Raw genomic sequence first — 19,727 nt, 5'->3', positions numbered from 1 at the left:
CCACAGCTTGGACTCATTACACCTTCTAAGCAGGTGTAGCCTGCAGGCAGTAAACAGTGTCCCTGCCACACCTTGGTAGGGTGCATGGAGCTGGGGCATTTTTCCTAGGGAGAAGGCAGGCATACTAAAAAGACCCTGAGACTGCTTTTTTTTTTTTTTTTTTTGAGACAGAGCCTCACTCTGTCGCCCAGGCCGGAGTGCAGTGGCATGATGTGGGCTCACTGCAACCTCATCTCCTGGGTTCAAGTGATACTTGTGTCTCAGCCTCCCGAGTAGCTACAACTACAGGTGCACACCACCACACCCACCTAATTTTTGTATTTTTAGTACAGATAGGGTTTCACCATGTTGGCCAAGCTGGTCTCAAACTCCTGGCCTCAAGTGATCCACCGACCTTGGCCTCCCAAAGTGTTGGGATTACATGTGTGAGCCACCACACCTGGCCTGGCTTCGTATTTAGAAGATCCAGCTGAAACCCTCTGACTGACTGAACACTGGGCCATAATTACTGGACAACCGAGACACAGACATTTCCAGTGGGAGGCAGAAAAGCCCAAGCGGCCTCTCCCTGAGCCATCGCATCCCTCCCCTCTCACACATGGAAATAATGCCCTGAGTTTCTATTTCTCAGCAGGTTGTCATGCAAAAATGAAAGAAATATTTAACAGCAACAGTAAAAGCACAGATGACAGCAGATGTTTCCTTTGATGGAGCAGGAGAATCTCTAGGGTTACAACATACAAGTGAAGAAGAAAGTTGTAACTCTGGGGGCCAACTATTTATTTTTCCCAGCCACACAAAAGAGGAAGAAAGCCCCGTTTCCTTGGTTCCCTTAAGATGACCTTGGCAGAGGGGCCGTTTATAAATCAAATAGGCATAAGGTATTACTTTGCGGGCATGTTTAAAATCCACCAATAGCTCTCACTTCCATCTCTGTCTCTTGCTTAAAACATGTGGACTTCTCAGGCATACATACACTTTCACATGTGATAAAGGTGCTGGTGACAGCTGTCACCCTTATCACTGTTTGTGGTGTCCTCTCAGAGTGTGAACTGAGATGTCTATAACAGAAAATCAGAATCCTGAGACCAAAGGTGTTTGCATATTCATTATTGTCCCTTTGACACTGAGAAGCTCACTAGGGTGATCCAGTCCACCATTTGGGTGCCAGGGTCTGGTAAACAGGCCACAGGGTAACTTGAATGGGACAATCTGTGCTCCACATCTCAAGGGCTTGACATCTGTGATAAACACAAAGGACTGAGGTGCAGCTGGCTGCTCTCAAGGGACAAAATTGCCCTGTTTCAGTGTAGGCTTTGGAAGGGCAATAGTTAAGGAGGAAATAGCCTTCCTGCTCATGGTTAGAAAGCGCCTATAGAAGGAGGGATCAGAAAAACATCCCAACTATGCTCAGCATTGCACAACCTCGTACGTCACAGCGGGAGGGTCCTCCAGCTGCTCCCGCAAACAGGACGAGAACCGCGGGCTCTGCTCGCTTTCTCTGAGGTGCTTTCTCACTGGCTCTTTTTCTTTTTCTGAGATGGAGTCTTGCTGTGTCGCCCAGGCTGGAGTGCAGTGGTGCGATCTCGGCTCATTGCAACCTCTACCTCCTGGGTTCAAGCAATTCTGCCTCAGCCTCCCGAGTAGCTGAGACTACAAGCACCCACCACCACATCTGGCTAATTTTTGTATTTTTAGTAGAGATGGGGTTTCGCCGTGTTGGCCAGGTTGGTCTTGAATTCCTGACCTCAAGTGATCTGCCCGCCTCAGTCTCCTAAAGTGCTGGGATTATAGGCGTGAGCCCCGTGCTTAGCCTGGCTCTGACTTTTACTAATGATGACTCAGCTTAATGCTCTGCATTTCTGACCTCTCAGGAATACAAAGAAATTCTCTGCCCAAGAACTGTTTATATACTGTTTCTAGAAGGGTGGGGCAGCTCCCCCTGCCCTGTGGCACACACTGGCCATAGATGAAAGTGCCTGGTGGTGCTGGGCTCTCATCCCCAGTGTGACAATGCCTCATCTGTGCTTTATTTCTATCACTGCTGTCAATACCACACGGGGTAAGGAACCAAAAACAGAACCCGACCTCAAACTGAAAGCACCCAGCCAGTGTTAGGGCACTACAACACAGTCCCTGCCTATCCCCAAGGGCTGACAAAAGAACACAGCCCTGCTCCTGTGTTTTGGGGGTCTATCTCCTGAGGAGTTCCAACCACTCTCCAGGCCTGATGAACTTGACCAGGATCACAGCAAATCTGGGGAAGAGGGAAGGCACCTGCATCACCTTCATCTGAGGGAGGCAGGGGAGGAAAGGGCAGAACCAGACATGGTTGTCACTGGCACAACCCAAGTCTCTGATTCTGGGGTGAGTTGGGGGATGTTCTTTATTCCAGCTGTGACATCTACCATCCTGGCCCACACTGCTGGTACAAGAAGGTAATGTTACAACTTATTGATTCTGGGATCAGTTCTCATGGCTAAAAGGCGGAAGGTTAGACATCTTATTTTAAAAACCACCTTTGTGACAGACTCGTTTTTAAATGCTTAGCCTCAGGAATATTTGTATTTTATTAGCTCAGCTACAAGCATGCAGATCTTGTGAGGAGATCTACCACCTATACCAACTTCTTTCAAACCCTGGCACTGGGGAAAAGGGACAGGAATGGAGGATGTCAGATTTCTGAATAACTTTCCACTTCCGGCTTTAGCCTCTTCCTGGAACAGTGACTTTCCTCTCAAATGAGAACTGCACAGCTCTCTCATCACTGCTGTAACCTCTCACAGTTCCTTCCGTTTGGTCTATGGCAAGGATTCAAGGCCCCACCCTCACTGAGAGTTTCTATCACCACCAGCTGTAGCCACTGGCAGCTTCCCACGCACCCTGGGGAAGCACTGACTTGGGAGGAACTTGGGCTTACCCAATACAATCACTTACACAACAAGATGTTTGGGGTCTCACAGGATTTCACTGCGTAAGTCATCAAACACTTCTCAAAACCATCCTGGGAAGATTCCCGTGGAATATTAGTTTATACAAAAGGGAGTGAGAAAAGGAACTAAGTATAGAAGAGAAAGAGCAACCAAAGAGTGAGAGCCGATGCAGCCTTGTCAAGTATGTTTATCTTTGTGTTTTACAGAGATGCCTCTTAACTTGCACTTGAAGTTCAAGGGTTCTAGCTGATCTCGGTAGTTCAAAAGGAAGGAAAGAATAGGAACTGCCATGATTTTTTTTTGGAAAAGGAGTTTTGTTCTTGTTGCCCAGGCTGGAGTGCAATGGTGTGGTCTCGGCTCACTGCAACATCTGCCTCCTGGGTTCAAGAGATTCTCCTGCCTCAGCCTCCGCAGTAGTTGGGATTACAGGCATGTGCCACCACGCCCAGCTAATTTTGTAATTTTAGTAGAGATAGGGTTTCACCATATTGATCAGGCTGGTCTTGAACTCCTGACCTCAGGTGATCCGCCTGCTTTGGCCTCCCAAAGTGCGTGAGCCACCACGCCCAGCTTTTTTTTTTTTTTTTTTTTGAGATGGAGTTGCGCTCTTTTTGCCTAGGCTGGAGTGCAACGGCACGATCTTGGCTCACTGCAACCTCTGCCTCCCAGGTTCAAGTGATTCTCCTGCCTCAGCCTCCCAAGTAGCTGGGATTACAGGTGCCCACCGCCACGCCTGGCTAATTCTGTATTTTTAGTACAGACAGAGTTTTACCATATTGGCCAGGCTGGTCTCAAACTCCTGACCTCAGGTGATGTGCCCGCCTCGGCCTCCCAAAGTGCTGGGATTACAGGTGTGATCCACTGAGCCTGGCCCTGCCACGACTTTTAAGCAGTTTCAGTTTCTTAATGGGAAGCTCTGGAGAAACCTAAGAAGCTTAAGGTTCTGTCCAGTATTTTGAAATCTGACCTTCTTGTGCCTTCAATAATTGTTCGTAGACACTGCTTGAAAATGTCTTCAAATGGACTTGTCAGTAGACAATTCTGCAAGAAAGGAAAGGAGACAGATTTAGACGGCAGATGTTTGGTGTTTATTCACTTGTTTAACATTGTTAGGTGACCCATAGAAGTCAGCTGTTGGGCTAGGAGCTGAAGGAGACGCAAAGATGAAAAAGACATGGTCTTTGTCTTAAGGAGCTAAGTCTAGTCGAAGGGAGGAGAAGAGATGTGGGAATTAACCCTCTTGAATGCAATCTGAGAGAGACTAAAAGAAAGAGTACTTTGAAATATTTTCCATGGAAGGTAAAGTATCGTGAGACGAAGGATTGGAGGTCCCAGACCTCAGCCATGGAGATGTCCCAGGAAGGACCATTCGTGTTTTATGCAAAGGACAGCAAGATGAGTTATAAGCTTGGGGTATTGGCCAGGACAGGTTCTTTCACAGGGCAGCCCATGACTGCCAGACACCTGCATTTGTGCTAGTGCTCTTGTGCCTTAGCAGCAGGCATCACAAACAAAGGAACATTAGGACTTATATGTCCCTCCCCCAGCTTCCAGACAGCCTTGTATTCTGGTGAAAGGAGGCCCTTGGATTCCAGATCTTTATTAATAAAGTGCTCTGCTAAAATGATTTTCTGATTAGCCACAGGACTTAATGTGTTTGTTACAGATGTGGGATAAACACTAAAAAATGAAAAGTGAGAGCCTGACTGGATTCAAGTACCCAGGACCCCTTCCCACCCCAGCCCACTCACCTCCACCTGTTCATGCTTAGCATCCAGGAAAGGGCCAAACTGCAAGGGGAGAAACAAAGACACCAAAAGAACAAATCAGAATCACTTGTGTCTGTGAATGACTTCAGATACCTCCTCTGGCAGTTCTCTGTGGAGGGCTCATCTGTCCCTCCAAGGCTGCCTGTAGAGCCTGGGGACAGTTAGCAGATGGGCTGGCGGGGCGCCAAGCCAATTTCACAGGCAGAAACACGTTTGCCCCAGATGGAGGGAGGCTCCCAGAGCCCCATAACCACTATAACACTGGGCTCACATCTGTAATCCTAGCACTTTGGGAAGCTGAGGTGGGCAGATTGCCTGAGCCCAGGAGTTCAAGACTAGCCTGGGCAATATGGTGAAACCCTCTCTCTACAAAAAAATACAAAAATTAGTTGGGCATGGTGGCGTGTGCCTGTAGTCCAAGCTATTCGGAAGACTCAGGGAGGATAGGGGAGGCTCACTTGAGCCCAGGAGGTGGAGGCTATAGTGAGCCGAGATCGCACCACAGCACTCCAGCCTAGGTGACAGAGTGAAACTCTGTCCCAAAAAAAAAAAAAAAAACAAAAAACAAACGAACAATAAAAATGCACACTGGGTTTTCTGACTTTCTAAATCTAGCAAGGTAAATTGATCACCATACTAATAATAGTATTTTGAGCTTTAAAAAGAGATTAGTTCAGAAGTTGGAGTAATGAGAAAGAAGTAAGAATACTGTAAAATCAACGAAGGGTGGAAAAAAAAAGTTGGGCTTTTATTTTTATTTTTTGAGATGGAGTCTGACTCTGTTGCCCAGGCTGGAGGGCAGTGGTGCAATCTCAGCTCACTGCAACCTCTGCTTCCCAGGTTCAAGCAATTCTCCTGCCTTAGCCTCCCAAGTAGCTGGGATTACAGGTGCCTGCCACCATGCCCAGCTAATTTTTTTGTATTTTTAGTAGAGATGGGGTTTCACCATGTTGGCCAGGCTGGCTTAGAACTCCTGCCCTCAAGTGATCCACACATCTCGGCCTCCCAAAGTGTTAGGATTACAGGCGTGAGCCACTGCGCCCGGCCAAAGTTGGGCTTTTAAATCTAGCAAAGGCCCATAGATATATATACCTCTCCAAAGATGTAGATTAAGAATGAAAAGATATTTTCTAAAAGGAGGAGGGACTGACATGCTTCCTAAAAATTTAGAACTTCATTAAAGCCATTTTCCAAGGCTGACTCCTCAGCTTTCCCACTGGTGCCTCTTACCAGGATGCAGACATCTGGCCGGTCATGGTTGATGACAGCAATCAGGTCAAGCAGGGGGTCATACGTGATGCTGTCAGATGTGGTGTATGGTCCACAGGCAACCAGGACCATGCTTTGCTCAAAGTCTAAGACAGAGGTTATAGGTCTTGATTAGAAGAGGACTAGTATTAGAATGGTGGGAGGAGAAAGGACAATGATGGGAAATGCCACAGGATTTAACTCATTGAGTCCTTTATGTGTGAAACTCTGGGGACCCAAGGTAAGGAAGACCTCATGTCCACCCTCCAAGAACACTCCACTAGGTGATAGAGACAGAGACAGGCAGGTACACGAATACCTAGAACATGCAGTAGAAACTTTATGAGCTGTGCACATGAAAGATTCGAGGAAAGTGGCAGTCAGGAAAGAATTTACCAAGGTGGAATTTGCTAACACGTTTGAGAATTTTTGGGGATCAAGGGCAAGGCAGGGTACAGGATAGCACTGAGACCTGAGTGTGCTCAGTGTTAGGAAATGTCTGGTCGTCCAGTGTGGCTGGAGAATGTGGGGTACTGAAGAGCCCAGAAAGACAGGCCGGGGAATGGGAGACTGGAACGGGAGACTCCAGGGTGATGGGGTGCAGGGGCCACCCATCACGCTTTGCCTTTTTCCTAACAGCAGCTGCTTTCCTTTTGGAGAATCAGCCCATCCCTCCACAAGGCAGTCTACATGGGGCTGTAAATTGGGTGCTCTGTCTTCCTCTAGCCAAGGGCAGGCACATGACCCAGAATGGCACAAGGCCATTCACACTCTCCTCCCAGGGTCTGCAATCTTGAGGTGAACGATCCAAGGAGAGAAAAAAGATTAGAGCTAACCTATTCCAGCTGAGGTGCCCAGATGAGACAGCTGGGGAATTCCTGCTACCTGGATGCTAGAGTTCCTGGGCTCTCATCTTGGTTCCAAGCCTCGGTTTCTAGCCACGTGTCCAGTCTGTGAGCTACCTGGATCTCCCCTAATAAATTCCTGCTTTCTTGTTAGTCTGAGCCAGTTTCTGTGGCTTACAACAACAAAATCCAAAGATCCCTGGCTTCTTAACATGCTGTTGTGTTAGTTTCCTATTGTTGCTATAACAAGTTATCACAAACTTAGTGCCTTAAAACAACACGAATTTGGCCAGGTGTGGTGGCTCAACGCCTGTAATTCCAGCACTTTGAGAGGCTAAGGCGGGAGGATCCCTTGAGCTCAGGAGGTCGAGACCAGCCTAGGCAACATAATGAAACCCTGTTTCTACAAAAAATACAAAAATTAGCTGGGCAGAGTGGTGCGTACCTCCTGAGCCTATAGTTCTAGTTACTTGAAGTGGGAGGATTGCTTGAGCCTGGGAGGTTGAGGCTGCAGTGAGCTGTGATCATGCCCACTGCACTCCAGTGAGACTGTCTCAAAAAAAAAGAAAAAAAAAAGCCCACGAATTTATTATATTACAGTTCCAGGGGTCAAAAATCCTAAACTGAAGGTGTGGGCAGGGCTGAGTTCCTCCTGTCTGGAGGTTCTAGAGAAGAATCCATTTCCTTGCCTTTTCCAGCTTTCAGAGGCCACCTGCATTCCCTGGTTCATGGCCCCACCTGCAGCGGCAAAGCCAGAAGCCTAAGATTTCTCTATTTTGAAATAAAATTTTTCTTTAGGCTTCCTCAAATCACAGCAGCCTAACATTTCTAAGCTCTGACTCTGATTCTCTTGCCATTCCTCTTATAAGGACCCTTGTGATTATAGTGGACCCACCTGGATAATCCAGGCTAATCCCCCATCTCAACAGCCTTAACTTAATCACACGGGCAAAGTCTCCTTTACCACAAATGGTAAAATATTCACAGGTTCCAGGGATTCCTGGGGCTGTGATTCAGTCTATCATGGTAATAATACCATGAACTGACAGAGCATTCAAGGTGAAGAGCAGGTTTCATGTGGTGGTGGGGTAGGGGACAAAGTTAAGTTTGGCTCTGAGAAGCCTACAGGAGATGTGAGCCCCAGTGTAAGCAGTGAGTCTCTGGAGGGCGAGGGCCATGTCTTATTCTGTATCTCCATGAGTGCCTCATTTAATTCCTTGTACAAAAGTTCATTAACAACCTGTTAAACTGTTTCCAAAGGCTTCTCTGGTACACAGCTCAGGCTCCTGGTATCTCAGCCAGGTTGATTTCATTACCTGAAGTTGACCTAATACCAGCATGCCACCCTTGCCCCCTATAAATTTGTATTTTCTTTTTTTTCTTTTTCTTTTTTTTTTTTTTTTGAGATAGGATCTCACTCTCACTCCTAGGCTGGAGTGCAGTAGTGGTATGATCATGGCTCATGGCAGCCTTGAACTCCTGGACTCAGGAGAGTGATCCTCCCACCTTAGCCTTCCAGGTTGCTGGGACTATAGGCACATGCCACCATGCCCACACCCAGCTAATTTTTTTTTTTGAGACAGAGTCTAGCTCTGTCGCCAGGCTGGAGTTCATTGGCGATCTCGGCTCACTGCAACTTCTACCTCCCAGGTTCAAGCGATTCTCCTGCCTCAGCCTCCTGAGTAACTGGGATTATAGGCACACGCTGCCAAGCCAAGCTAATTTTTGTATTTTTTAGTGGAGATGGGGTTTCAGCTTGTTGGCCAGAATGGTCTCTATCTCCTGACCGTGTGATCCGCCCACCTCGGCCTCCCAAAGTGCTGGGATTACAGGGGTGAACCACTGCGCCTGGCCTAATTTTTGTACTTTTTGTAGAGATGAGGTTTCACCATGTTGCCCAGGCTGCTCTCAAACTCCTGTGGTCAAGCAATCCTCCTGCGCCAGCATGAGCCACCACGCCCGGCCAAACTTGTGTTTTCTGATAAAATGTGCAATATCACAAGGTCCTAAATTTCACTCCTGATTCTAGGTCATCTCCAAGAATGGCTCTGGCCACTGTTACATGCATGGGGTGTTGACAACATGCTAGTATCAGTGATCTGGTTGCTAATCCTTAACAGTGCTCCACTGTGCTTACAAAAATGCCTTGAGGGTTGGGTGTGGTGACTCATGCCTGTAATCCCAGCATTTTGGGAGGCCGAGGCGGGCAGATCACCTGAGGTTGGGAGTTTGAGACCAGCCTGACCAACATGGAGAAACCCCATCTCTACTAAAAATACAAAAATTAGCCAGGCATTACAGGTGCATGCCTGTAATCCCAGCTACTTGGGAGGCTAAGGCAGGAGAATCGCTTGAACCCGGGAGGTGGAGGTTGCGGTGAGCCGAGATGGCGCCTTGCACTACAACCTGGGCAACGAGTGAAACTCTGTCTAAAAAAAAAAAAAAGAAAAAAAAAACAATGCCTTGAAATACAGAAATACATACATATATTTTTTTGAGACAGGGTCTCACTCTGACACCCAGGCTGGAGTGCAATGGCACAATCATGGCTCACTGCAGCCTTGACTTCCTGGGCTCAAGCAATCCTCCTACTTCAGCCTCGCAAGTAGTGGGGACTATACAGGTGTGCACAACCACACCAAGCTGATTTTTTTTGTTTTTATTTTTTGTAGAGATGCAGACCCACTATGTGCCGGGAGGCTAAACTTAAACTGGGCTCAAGCAATTCTCTCACCTTGGCCTCCCAAAGTGCTGGGTTACAGAAGTCAGCCATCACACCTGGCCACCTTGAAATAAATAAATTCTATCTATCTATCTATCTATCTATCTATCTATCTATCTATCTATCTAGTGTCTTACTCTTTCACCCATGCTGAAGTGCAGTGGCATGATCACGGCTTACTGTAGCCTTGACTTCCCAGGCTCAAGTGATCCCCGCACCTCAGCCTCCTGAGCAGCTGGGACCACAGGCACATGCCACCATGCCGAGCTAATTTTTTTTTTTTTTTTGTAGAGACAGGTTTTCGCCATATTGCCCAGGCTGGTCTCAAACTCCTGGGCTCAAGTGATCTTCCCACCTCAGCCCTGTGAAGTGCTGAAATTATGTTGAAATATTTAGAAGCAAAGTTTGTCAAACTTTCTTTTTGCCTTTCCACAACTAGATTAGTTACCACATAACACTAGGGTTTTAAAGAAATTCTTTTTGGCCGGGCATGGTGGCTCATGCCTGCAATCCCAGCACTTTGAGAGGCCAAGGCAGGCGGATCACAAGGTCAGGAGTTCAAGACCAGCCTGACCAACATGGTGAAACCCCATCACTATGGGGTTTTGTAAAAATACAAAAATTAGCCGGGTGTGGTGTACGCCTGTAATCCCAGCTACTTAGGAGGCTGAGGCAGGAGAATCACCTGAACCCGGGAGGCGGAGCTTGCAGTGAGCCAAGATCTTGCCACTGCACTCCAGCCTGGGGGGCAGAGCGAGACTCCATCTCAAAAAAAAAAAGGAAGTTATTTTTAAGTTTTCACTTTAGAACAAATTTAGAATTGTAGAGAAGTTATGAAGATAGTACAGAGTTCCTGTGTGTCTTTCACCAGTGGCCCCTAATCTTAACATGTTAGGTAACCATGAACATTTGTCAAAATTAAGGCATTAATGCTGGTATATCGCTGTTAACTAAATTCCTGGATTCTCGAGGTTGAGTGTTAGAGCCAGAAAAATAAAAAAGTAAATTCCTGGCTTTATTCAGATGTTGCTAGTTGTTCCACTGATGTTCCCGTTCTCTTCAAGGATCCAATCCAGGATGCCACATTATACTTTCAAAAAATTAATTAATTTTAATTTTTTTTAAGAGTCAGAGTCTCGCTCTGTCACACAGGCTGGAGTAAAATGGTGTTACCATAGCTCACTGCAACCTTGAACTCCTGGGCTTAGGCAATCCTCCTGTCTCAGCCTCTGATTAGCTAGGACTACAGGCATGCACCACAAGCCCAGCTAATATTTTTTTTAATTTTTAGTAGAGACAGGGTCTCCCTATGTTGCCCAGGCTAGTTTCCAACTCCTGGCCTCAGGTGATCCTCCCACCTTGGCCTCCCAAAGTGTTGGGAATACAGGTGTGAGCCACCGCATCTGCCCATGCTGCATGTAAATAAATTCTTTTTGAAATCGTACATCTTTTCCTTTCCAAGGCAACCTTCAAAAATACCTGTTAAACATTAGTCTTTAAACAACATGCTTCATGTAGGCAGAACTCAGGCGACAGCACGACCAACGCTCACTGGGCTCAGACCAGGGGTCTTGTGACAAAAAACCTACGAACTCATGATGGTGGCGCCCTCACTGCTTGGTCACATTGCTCTTCAGCAGCTTCTGCAGCTTTCTTGGGCTTGGGAAACTGCACTCCTGGACTCATGTCTACCATCCTCATTGTTGGCAAAACAATATTTGAACCGAAACTCACCTGCATCCTCTTCAGTGGGCTGATAAAATGGAAGTGGCACACCCTAAAAACAGGGGAAAAGCTCAAGTAAGGTCTTGCGCCAGGCATCACCTTGGTAAGGAAAGGGGAGGGCACCAGGTTGGGGGTGGTGCAGGTGTGTGATGGGAGGACAGTGGGGAGGAGCGAGAGGGCAGGGGAAGGATGTGCCTCTGTCTTGCTCCCTGGATCTGATGGGACCTGCCATTTTTCTATACTGCTCAGAGGGCAAAGAAACCCAGGTAATGGGAGGTCACTACTCAATTGTCATAAAATACCCAGCAACAAGTGGGAGCAAAACAGGTGCCTAAAGTATCAGTGTACTTCTAGGCAAGGATGGGAGAGAATGGTTTCTTGCTACTTTTCCTGGCATTCTACGAAAATCTCTGGAGGATTGTTGCCTAGAGCAGGGATAGGTAACCTTTCGGCCTCTGGGCCAAATTTGGCTGCAGCCCACTATTTAAATAAAGTTTTATGGGAACACAGCCACAGTCATCTGTTTAAGAGTCCTCTATGGCTGCTTTTGTAGACAAAGGCAGAATTGAGTCATTGTGACAGAGACCATATAGCTACAAAGTCTAAAAGAGTTACTGTCTGGCCCTTTATAGAAAGGGTTTGCTGACCCCTGGCCTAGGGGTGGGTTCCCACTTACAGATGGAGAACTGACTAACAAATAAATGGGCTCCTAAAAAGGACCAGTTTCTAGAACAGACAGCTTCCAGACATACTTTGTCTGAAGCAAACCAAGAGGCAAGTGGGGGTACTGCTGTGTACCTCGTAGAGTTTGGTGGCAACAAGTTTCCTACCAGTGGTGTTGATTCCTTCCATAATTACAACCTGAAAGACAAAAACAAACAGGATTGCTAAGCAGTGGAGATCAATGAGGTCTGGAATACATTATTTTGAGGCAGTTAAAAGCATTGTCCAACTACTCTCATTCTGTAATCATAAACTTAGGGCATTTTTGTAGAAAACGAATTAAGGGCGTTGCATTAGTAATAATAATTATGCTCTATATAAGTGATCTAATTTTCACAACAATCCTATGAGGTAAGAATTATTATTTCCATTTTGTGAGTGAAGAAACTGTAGTTTAGATGGTTAAGTACCTTGTGCACAGTCATGCACCTCATGGAGCGGGGAGTTGGGATTTGAGGCTGCGCAGTCAGGTCCCAGAGCCTGGGTCAGAGCATGGGGGAAACAGGAATCCCAACAGTGGTGTCTGCTCTGGGGCATGTGCTCCAGCTGCACCCCATGGCAGCAGAGACAGGAACTGAGGAGCAGCTGCGCATGGCACAGCACCTACACTACAGGGGTAAAGAGTGCGCCTGCATTCTGGTGGAACTCCTCCAATCTCACCTGTCCAGGAAACAGAGAATATTCCTTAAGCTCAGATAAATCCACTGGAATTTGAGCACCCGAGGAATGTTCCCGGTCTCCCTCGAGAATCACTGACTTGTTGTTCAGCTTCCCGTTGCTATCACAGCCAATCTGGCCCAGCAGAGTGACAGGCTCCTACCAAAGGAAGGTCACAGCATAAGAATGACAGTCTTTGGAGCAGGAGCTCAAAATCTGAAGTCGATAGGGTGAATAGCAAAACAAACTGCAAACAACAAATACATTTCTTGGCAGGGCATTGCTTTGACCCTGAGGTGACTACCGCGTCATCACTGACTCTCAGGATGGAAGAACTCTGAAAGGGCATCTTGTCCACCCATCCACCCAGCACTTGAGCCTTCCTAGGAGGCTGCCTAAGTGTGAGCATCTCTAGTGTAGGGGAACTTGCCCCTGGATGCCTACCCCACCCTGTCCTCACCACCCCAGGGCAGCCCACTGCATCTTTGGGCAGCTATAACTACTTAATAATAGCTAACATTTCTTGAGCTTACTAAATACCATGCACTGTTCTAAAATGTATTCTTAGGCATTTTATATGTATTAACTCATTTAATCCTTGCAACAACCATCGGGTGGATATTACTGTATCCATTTTACAGATGAGGAAAACAAGCAACAGAAAGGTTAGATAATTTAGTCAAGGTCAAACTGTGGGTGAAGCTTGGGTTTGAAACCAGAAATTTGGCTCTAGAGCCATATCCTTAGCCACATACCATACAACCTCTTAACAGGAAGTTCTTTATTAATTGAGCTAAAATCTCTGTCTCCATGGCTTCCTCTGTTCTGTTCCCACTCTTGGGAGAAAACAGAGGAAGTCTCATCTTTCCCAGTGATTGTGCCTCCCTGCCTTCCCTCAATTACTTCCTTCCAAGTCCTCTAACACTTCCTTCTATGACACAGTTCTGCATCACTTCCCCAACTGATCATTCTTTGAATGTAAACATTGACAAAGGTACTTTAAAGAAACTTCTAGAATATATTTCCCCTTAGATTAGAAAACATTCTAGAGAGAAAGCACTGGTATATATGCCAGATTAAACTATGATATAAAGATACTATTGGCAGCAGTTTGTCTATAACAAGAGACCAAACCAGGGGAGAGACTGTGAGTCATTGTCCAGAGAACAAGATTCTGAAAACCCCACCGTCGCTGCTGTCCTTTTATCTCGATACGTGAATGCTTCTATTTGTGGGAAATCCCCGGGGAGCTACCTGACTCACCACCAAGGGAAACAAGGCCTTGAGTCTCTGCTTATGTGCAAGACTCTAATCCAAGTGGGAAGAAAATCACTCTCTGGCCACAAAACCAGACAGCACTTACAAATCTTTCTTCAGAAGGGCCCATTTTCCCAAATTCAACCAAGACAGATGTTCAAACTAGAACACAGACAAGAAGTGAAAAAGGAAGCAAGAAGGATGCCTCTTGGTCATCGATTTAAAAACGTAATATTAATTAGTGAGAACTATTAGAACAACTCTTACCTGTGCTGGGGCTAGCAAAGGAGTGAAAGCTTCAATCTTGTAATGTTCCTTGAGTTCGCTGCCAAGTTCTTCTATCTTACAGGTCAGAACTACAATCCCAGAAGTGGAAAAAAGTATTATGTTTAAGACATTTCACTTGCCAAGAAGAGAAAATACAGCACATTGTAAAATATTAAAGTCAGTCATTTTACAGAAGCAGGAAGGGTGCCTGGACATCTGGCCAGTTTAAACCTTCTAAAACCTTTGCCAATTTTCCGATATTTGGTTGCTGAATCTGGCCTTCCATCTGGCCACAGGAGACCCCATAGCACAATTCCAGGGAATCAGCATGAACCCCACCCCATCTCCAAGTCTGCCCTTTACTCAAGTCCTCACTGAGGTTTTAGGCAAGTCAAGGCCAACCTGAAGAAGGCTTCTAACGAAGGAACCATGAATATCTTTAAGTTGAATTCCTTTACATCGTTCAAGTTTTTGCTGCTGGGAATGGTTATGTGCGTTTTAGCAAAGTGAAGTGACTTGGGGCAATCACTGATAGTATTGCCCGTGTCCCTCCATTACTAGGGCTTCCATGAGGACATCTACCAACTCATACATTGAAAGGCAACCTTGGAACTTGTTCTACCAGCCTAGCTGAAGCTTTGTTACTCTACACCCTTCTAGGTGGTTTTATATCCACCAGAATTTCAAAGGGAAAAACAATCACCTTCTCGAATGTCTGGGAGCTTCTGAAACATGGATTTGTAGCTCCCAGTTAGTGCCTCTGGACATCCCAAGACCTTCAGGCTGATGTTTCCAGCTCCTCCTCTCCCAGACCAAGATACTCCCTGTGCTAAGCCGAAGGAGGTAACCACTTCTCCTCGGTTACTTCGTGAGTTGTATTTCTGGGAGGGAGTAGCACTAATTGGAAGCAAAACAGGTTAATATTACTGTGTTCATATCTAAAGGGAGAGAAGAATAAAATGAGGTTACCTTTGGAAATGGGGACTGGAGAAAAGGAAGGTGGCCTCATAGTTTATAAATTGAATCAGTTTAATGGGGTTGGACATACCCAGACCTTTAAGGAATTTCAGGAATGAAGGGCTGAGGAATACCAGGCTGAGGAATACCAAACATTTTTAGAGAAGTTTAGAGACAGAAACGTATTTTAAAAAGTTGTCGTTCTCTTGGCATTAAAACTAAGCAAGGCAAAAAGATCCCCAGATTCTGAATTGATTAAAAGGCAAACTTTAAGTCCCATTTTTTTCTTCTCATGAATTTTTAGCATTTATTGGAACATCATCTGAGCCTGCAACTGTGGATAAGCTAAAACTTGCTGAGCATATATAAAAACTCACAATATGGTTCAAGGTAGAAACAACAATAAAATGAAATTCAAATTAATCAATTTTCCCCAGTGTCTATGGAGGTGGGTAAGTAATGAATTAACAGTCTGGTGATGTGCAAACATTCCCATTTTTCTAGGCTCAACTGCCAAGTTCTCACATTTCCACTCCCTGACTGGTAAATTATACCTCTAAGAACACATGGATATTGCTGATCTGCTTAGATGACAGTGAGGTCTTCTAATCCTCTGGTTGTAAACACGCCGTACAGAGAGGTCTATTTAAAACAGGCTTTGTTTAATGCACTGAAACTCTGCGGGAACCAGTTTTATGTGGGGCACCATCGCAATTAATGCCATCATTCTTTCTTTTCACAGCCTACAGAAAATGAGCTCAATTAATTATCTCAATCTCCAGTGCCACCTCTACGTGAATAGTTTAGAAGTTACTTTCATACATTACAAAACCAGTTTCTGCTGTCAGCTTTATTAGTGTGCATTAAAAAATGACTAGGCAGCATTTTGCCAGCTTCTCCAAGCTCTTCCCTGGGAAGCTCCATGAGCCATCCATTACAGCAGGCCCTTTAATGCAGCAAGATGCTCACATGAGGACAGTTGTAAACAGATCTACAGGTTTCAGAGCATTGTATTGACATTTGGAGAATATAACTCCTGCAATGGTGCTGGCACGTCTATAAGAACCATCCCTACATACCAGGTTGCAAAGATGCTCTTAAGTCTAGAAAGCTTTCTTCCAAAAAGCCTGAGAACTCCCCAAAGCAGCAGTAGACTACCCTAAAGTAAAACTGTCCTTCAAAATCCAATTACTGCCAGGCATGCTGGCTCATGCCTGTAATCCCAGTACTTTGGGAGGCTAAGGCAGGCAGATTGCTTGAGGCCAGGAGTTCGAGACCAGCTTGAGCAACATGGTAAAACCCCATCTCTACAAAAATTATAAAAATTAGCTGGGCTTGGTAGCATACACCTGTAGTCCCAGCTACTCAGGAGGCTGAGGTAGGAGGATCACCTGAGCCTGGAAGGCCAAGGCTACAGTGAGCTATAGTTGTGCCACTGCACTCCAGCCTGGGCAACAGAGTAAAAGCCTATCTTAAAAAAAAAAAAAAAAGAAAGAAAAGAAAAAAAAAATCCAATGACCACTCACCTTGAATGACTGCAGAGCTTCTATCACCACCTTTCTAAAGTGATAGAGCTGAAAAGGCCGAGAGCAGTGGCACATGCTTGACATCCTACACTTTGGGAGGCCAAGGCGGGTGGATCACCTGAGGTCAGGAGTGCAAGATCAGCCTGGCCAACAGGCGAAACCTCGTCTCTACTAAAAATACAAAAATTAGCCAGGCATGGTGGCGAGCGCCTGTAGACCCAGCTACTCGGGAAGCTGAGGCAGGAGAATCGCTTGAACCGGGAGGCAGAGGCTTCAGTAAGCCAAGATGGTGCCACTGCACTCCAGCCTGGGTGACAGAGTGAGAGTCCATCTCAAAAAAAAAAAAAAAAAAAGTGATAGAGTTGAACAATCTTAAGCTCTGGTTCATCTAGAAGTGATCCAAAGTAGAGGTAATGACTCCTGGCAGTTGGTGTTTCCCTGAAGGGTTAATACTACTGCTCCGGAGCCTCATCTTGATGTGGAAACTCCTAAAAACCCATCTACTCAGCAGAGCACTTGCCTATGGAATTCTCTAATATGAGACGTGTCATTTATGGATTTCAAAAAATTACATATGATCTTTGTGGATTTATGTGCAATGGTGGCAGAGGGACAAAATACCAATTAAGTCAGGGCAGAGTCACAGTGACAAGAAAACTCTCAGAAACTAGTTCTAACCTGACTTGGAAACAATAAACAGGTTATGAAACATTATGAACAAAGATATGTGCTTTTCTTTAAAAAAAAAAACTTTAGATGAAAAGAAAGAAAAAGAAACCCAACAAAACACAAACAGAAGCAGGTGGAAACCTACTTGCCTCTACTGACAAGACCTGTTAAGACTCTTAGACTTCTGAATAGACAGGTTGTTTTCAATACAAGATATCAGTTCCCGATCTAGGAAATGAGCCCTAGAAAAGTGGGTGGAAAGTGAGTTTCCTTAATTACCGTAAGAAACAGTAATTTTCCACAAAGAAAAGGAGAGCAAGGAAGGCAGAGAGCAATAGGCTTTCAAGCCAATTCACTGCAGAGGTACATGCCCACCTATAGTTAATTAATAACTCTGCTGTTAGCCTTCCTCAGATAGCCAGAGAAAGGGGAGGGGAGGCCAGCTTTATGGCACTTGAATGAATTATGATCCATACCTTGGAGAGAAACTTGACGGTGAGAGTAGCTGATGGGGGCTACGAGTTGACACACTCCTTTTTGTTAGGGGGGTTTCTGGGGTAGAGATAGCTCGCTTCTGAGAACCCTAGGGAAAAAAAAGGAAAACAAAATCTCAGTCCTACTAGACCCAATACTAATTAAGTGTATAGTACCTTGGAAGAAAAGGGAGAACATGTCCAAACGAAGGCACAAAATAGGACTGGGTGGGTTCTCTTCTTAAGGCCCCATCATCCAAGCATAATCTCAAAAAGAAATCTTCAACAACTGTAACCAACATTCAGGACACTGTCCCTATTTTGAAGGCAATTACGAGAAAGCAAACATTTTCCAAAAAGGACCACCAGGCTGGTAATGTGTCCTGTCAAATCCTTCATATGTTTACTTTCTGTCCCTACCTCTATGTTTTCAAACAGATATGAGTTTTACAATGCATAGTTTTGATCTATGTGTACACATTTTCCTGAGAAGGAATGGGACATTACTACTTACTTTGGCAAAGTCTACCATACATTTTCAAAGGAAATGACTCCAGGCAGATAACAAGGTTGAGCTCATACTTGAAGAGTTAGCAAACATCTGATGGTCACTCCTTTTTTTTTTTTTTTTTTTTGACTCATCAACAAGAATCCAAAGATAAGCCCAGAACGGAGGCTGAAACCTACAGTCCAGAGACCTATTGCTCCCTAAAGTCTAGGATAATCGACTGTAATAGAGAAAACAAAATCCTTGCCTGGATAGCAGCCAGGAAGCCAGCTAGTCTGCAGCTTTCCCTGCCCTAGGGCTCCTCCTGGCTGCAAGTTTAAGAAGTTATATTGCAGAGTGGTCAGCTGGTGGCAACTGCAGGACAGAATGCCAGAGAACAGATTCAAAACCATCAAAACCAGCTGCAATGGAAAATAGATTAAAAAAAAAATCCCTTATTCTACTACCCTGATATAATAACCAGTTTTGAATATTCCTTAATGGTATTTTAATATTTTTCTAGGCCAGGGGTGGTGGCTCATGCCTGTAATCCCAGCACTCTGGGAGGTCAAGGTGGGAGGATCACCTGAGCCCAGGAGTTCAAGACCAGCCTGGGCAACGGCGAGACCTCATGTCTGAGGAGGAAAAAGAAAAGCCAGGCGTGGTGCCTTATAATTTGTATATTAAGATTACAAATACACAAATTAGAATATACAAATTATAGTCATAATCTTAGTTTAAATATAAACCTAAGTATTTTATGTGCTGAATTTTTTCACTCTATATTAATTATCAACATTTTCCCACACTGTTACATTTTTAATCTTTTTTTTTTTTTTGAGATGGAGTCACTGTCACCCACGCTGGGGCACAGTGGCAAGATCTCGGCTCACTACAACCTCTGCCTCCTGGGTTCAAGCGATGCTGCTGCCTCAGCCTCTAGAGTAGCTGGGACTACAGGTGCCCGCCACCACATCCAGCTAATTTTTGTATCTTTAGTAGAGATGGGGTTTTGTCATGTTGGCCAGGCTGGTCTCAAACTCCTGACCTCAATTGATCCACCTGCCTCGGCCTCCCAAAATGCTGGAATTACACCCATGAGCTACTGCACCTGACCCAATCTTTTTCCCTTTTTTTTTTTCCGAGACGGAATTTCACTTCGCTCTTGTTGCCCAGGCTGGAGTGCGATGTGCGATCTCGGCTCACTGCAACCTCAGCTCACTGCAACTCCACCTCCCGTGTTCAAGTGATTCTCTGGCCTCAGCCTCTTGAGTAGCTGGGACTACAGGCATGCACCACCACGCCCAGCTAATTTTGTATTTCTAGTAGAGATGTGAGTTTCGCCATGTTGGTCAGGCTGGTCTCGAACTCCTGATCTCAGGTGATCCACCTGCCTCGGCCTCCCAAAGTGCTGGGATTACAGGTCTTTATCCTTTTTAGTAGCTGTGTTATTTAATTAAACTGACCTA

The 19,727-nt window shown here is 45.5% G+C and overlaps 1 protein-coding gene across 8 annotated transcripts in view, besides 1 other annotated feature; it reads right to left on the bottom strand.

Annotated features, from left to right (window-relative positions):
• Positions 1 to 19,727, bottom strand: part of POLA2 (DNA polymerase alpha 2, accessory subunit) — a 44,024-nt gene that overhangs the window by 12,213 nt on the left and 12,084 nt on the right. For all 8 annotated transcript variants that reach the window (XR_007062468.1, XR_007062469.1, NM_001438747.1 and 5 more), the window contains exons 5-13: positions 17,775 to 17,881; positions 14,850 to 15,043; positions 14,147 to 14,235; positions 12,626 to 12,781; positions 12,041 to 12,103; positions 11,252 to 11,294; positions 5,933 to 6,057; positions 4,685 to 4,723; positions 3,901 to 3,974 (exon numbers count right to left, since the gene is read on the bottom strand). Coding sequence is in view for 6 of the 8 variants with exons in the window: in NM_001438747.1 (NP_001425676.1) it covers positions 3,901 to 3,974; positions 4,685 to 4,723; positions 5,933 to 6,057; positions 11,252 to 11,294; positions 12,041 to 12,103; positions 12,626 to 12,781; positions 14,147 to 14,235; positions 14,850 to 15,043; positions 17,775 to 17,881 (890 nt within the window). In the remaining 2 variants the exon portion in view is untranslated. The remainder of the gene's footprint in view (positions 1 to 3,900; positions 3,975 to 4,684; positions 4,724 to 5,932; positions 6,058 to 11,251; positions 11,295 to 12,040; positions 12,104 to 12,625; positions 12,782 to 14,146; positions 14,236 to 14,849; positions 15,044 to 17,774; positions 17,882 to 19,727) is intronic.
• Positions 13,304 to 14,503: an enhancer, noted in NCBI's record as "MED14-independent group 3 enhancer chr11:65046741-65047940 (GRCh37/hg19 assembly coordinates)". NCBI's record gives its function as "activates an origin of replication core promoter dependent on BRD2, BRD4, P300/CBP and CDK7 cofactors, and independent of MED14, by STARR-seq in HCT116 cells {active_cell/tissue: HCT116}" and the evidence as "EXISTENCE:reporter gene assay evidence [ECO:0000049][PMID:35650434]".

This window comes from Homo sapiens, chromosome 11 (genome assembly GCF_000001405.40).
Source record: "Homo sapiens chromosome 11, GRCh38.p14 Primary Assembly".
Classification (NCBI taxonomy): Eukaryota; Metazoa; Chordata; class Mammalia; order Primates; family Hominidae; genus Homo; species Homo sapiens.
Note: the sequence above shows the minus strand (reverse complement) of the source record. Positions and strands in the feature narration are given on the sequence as shown.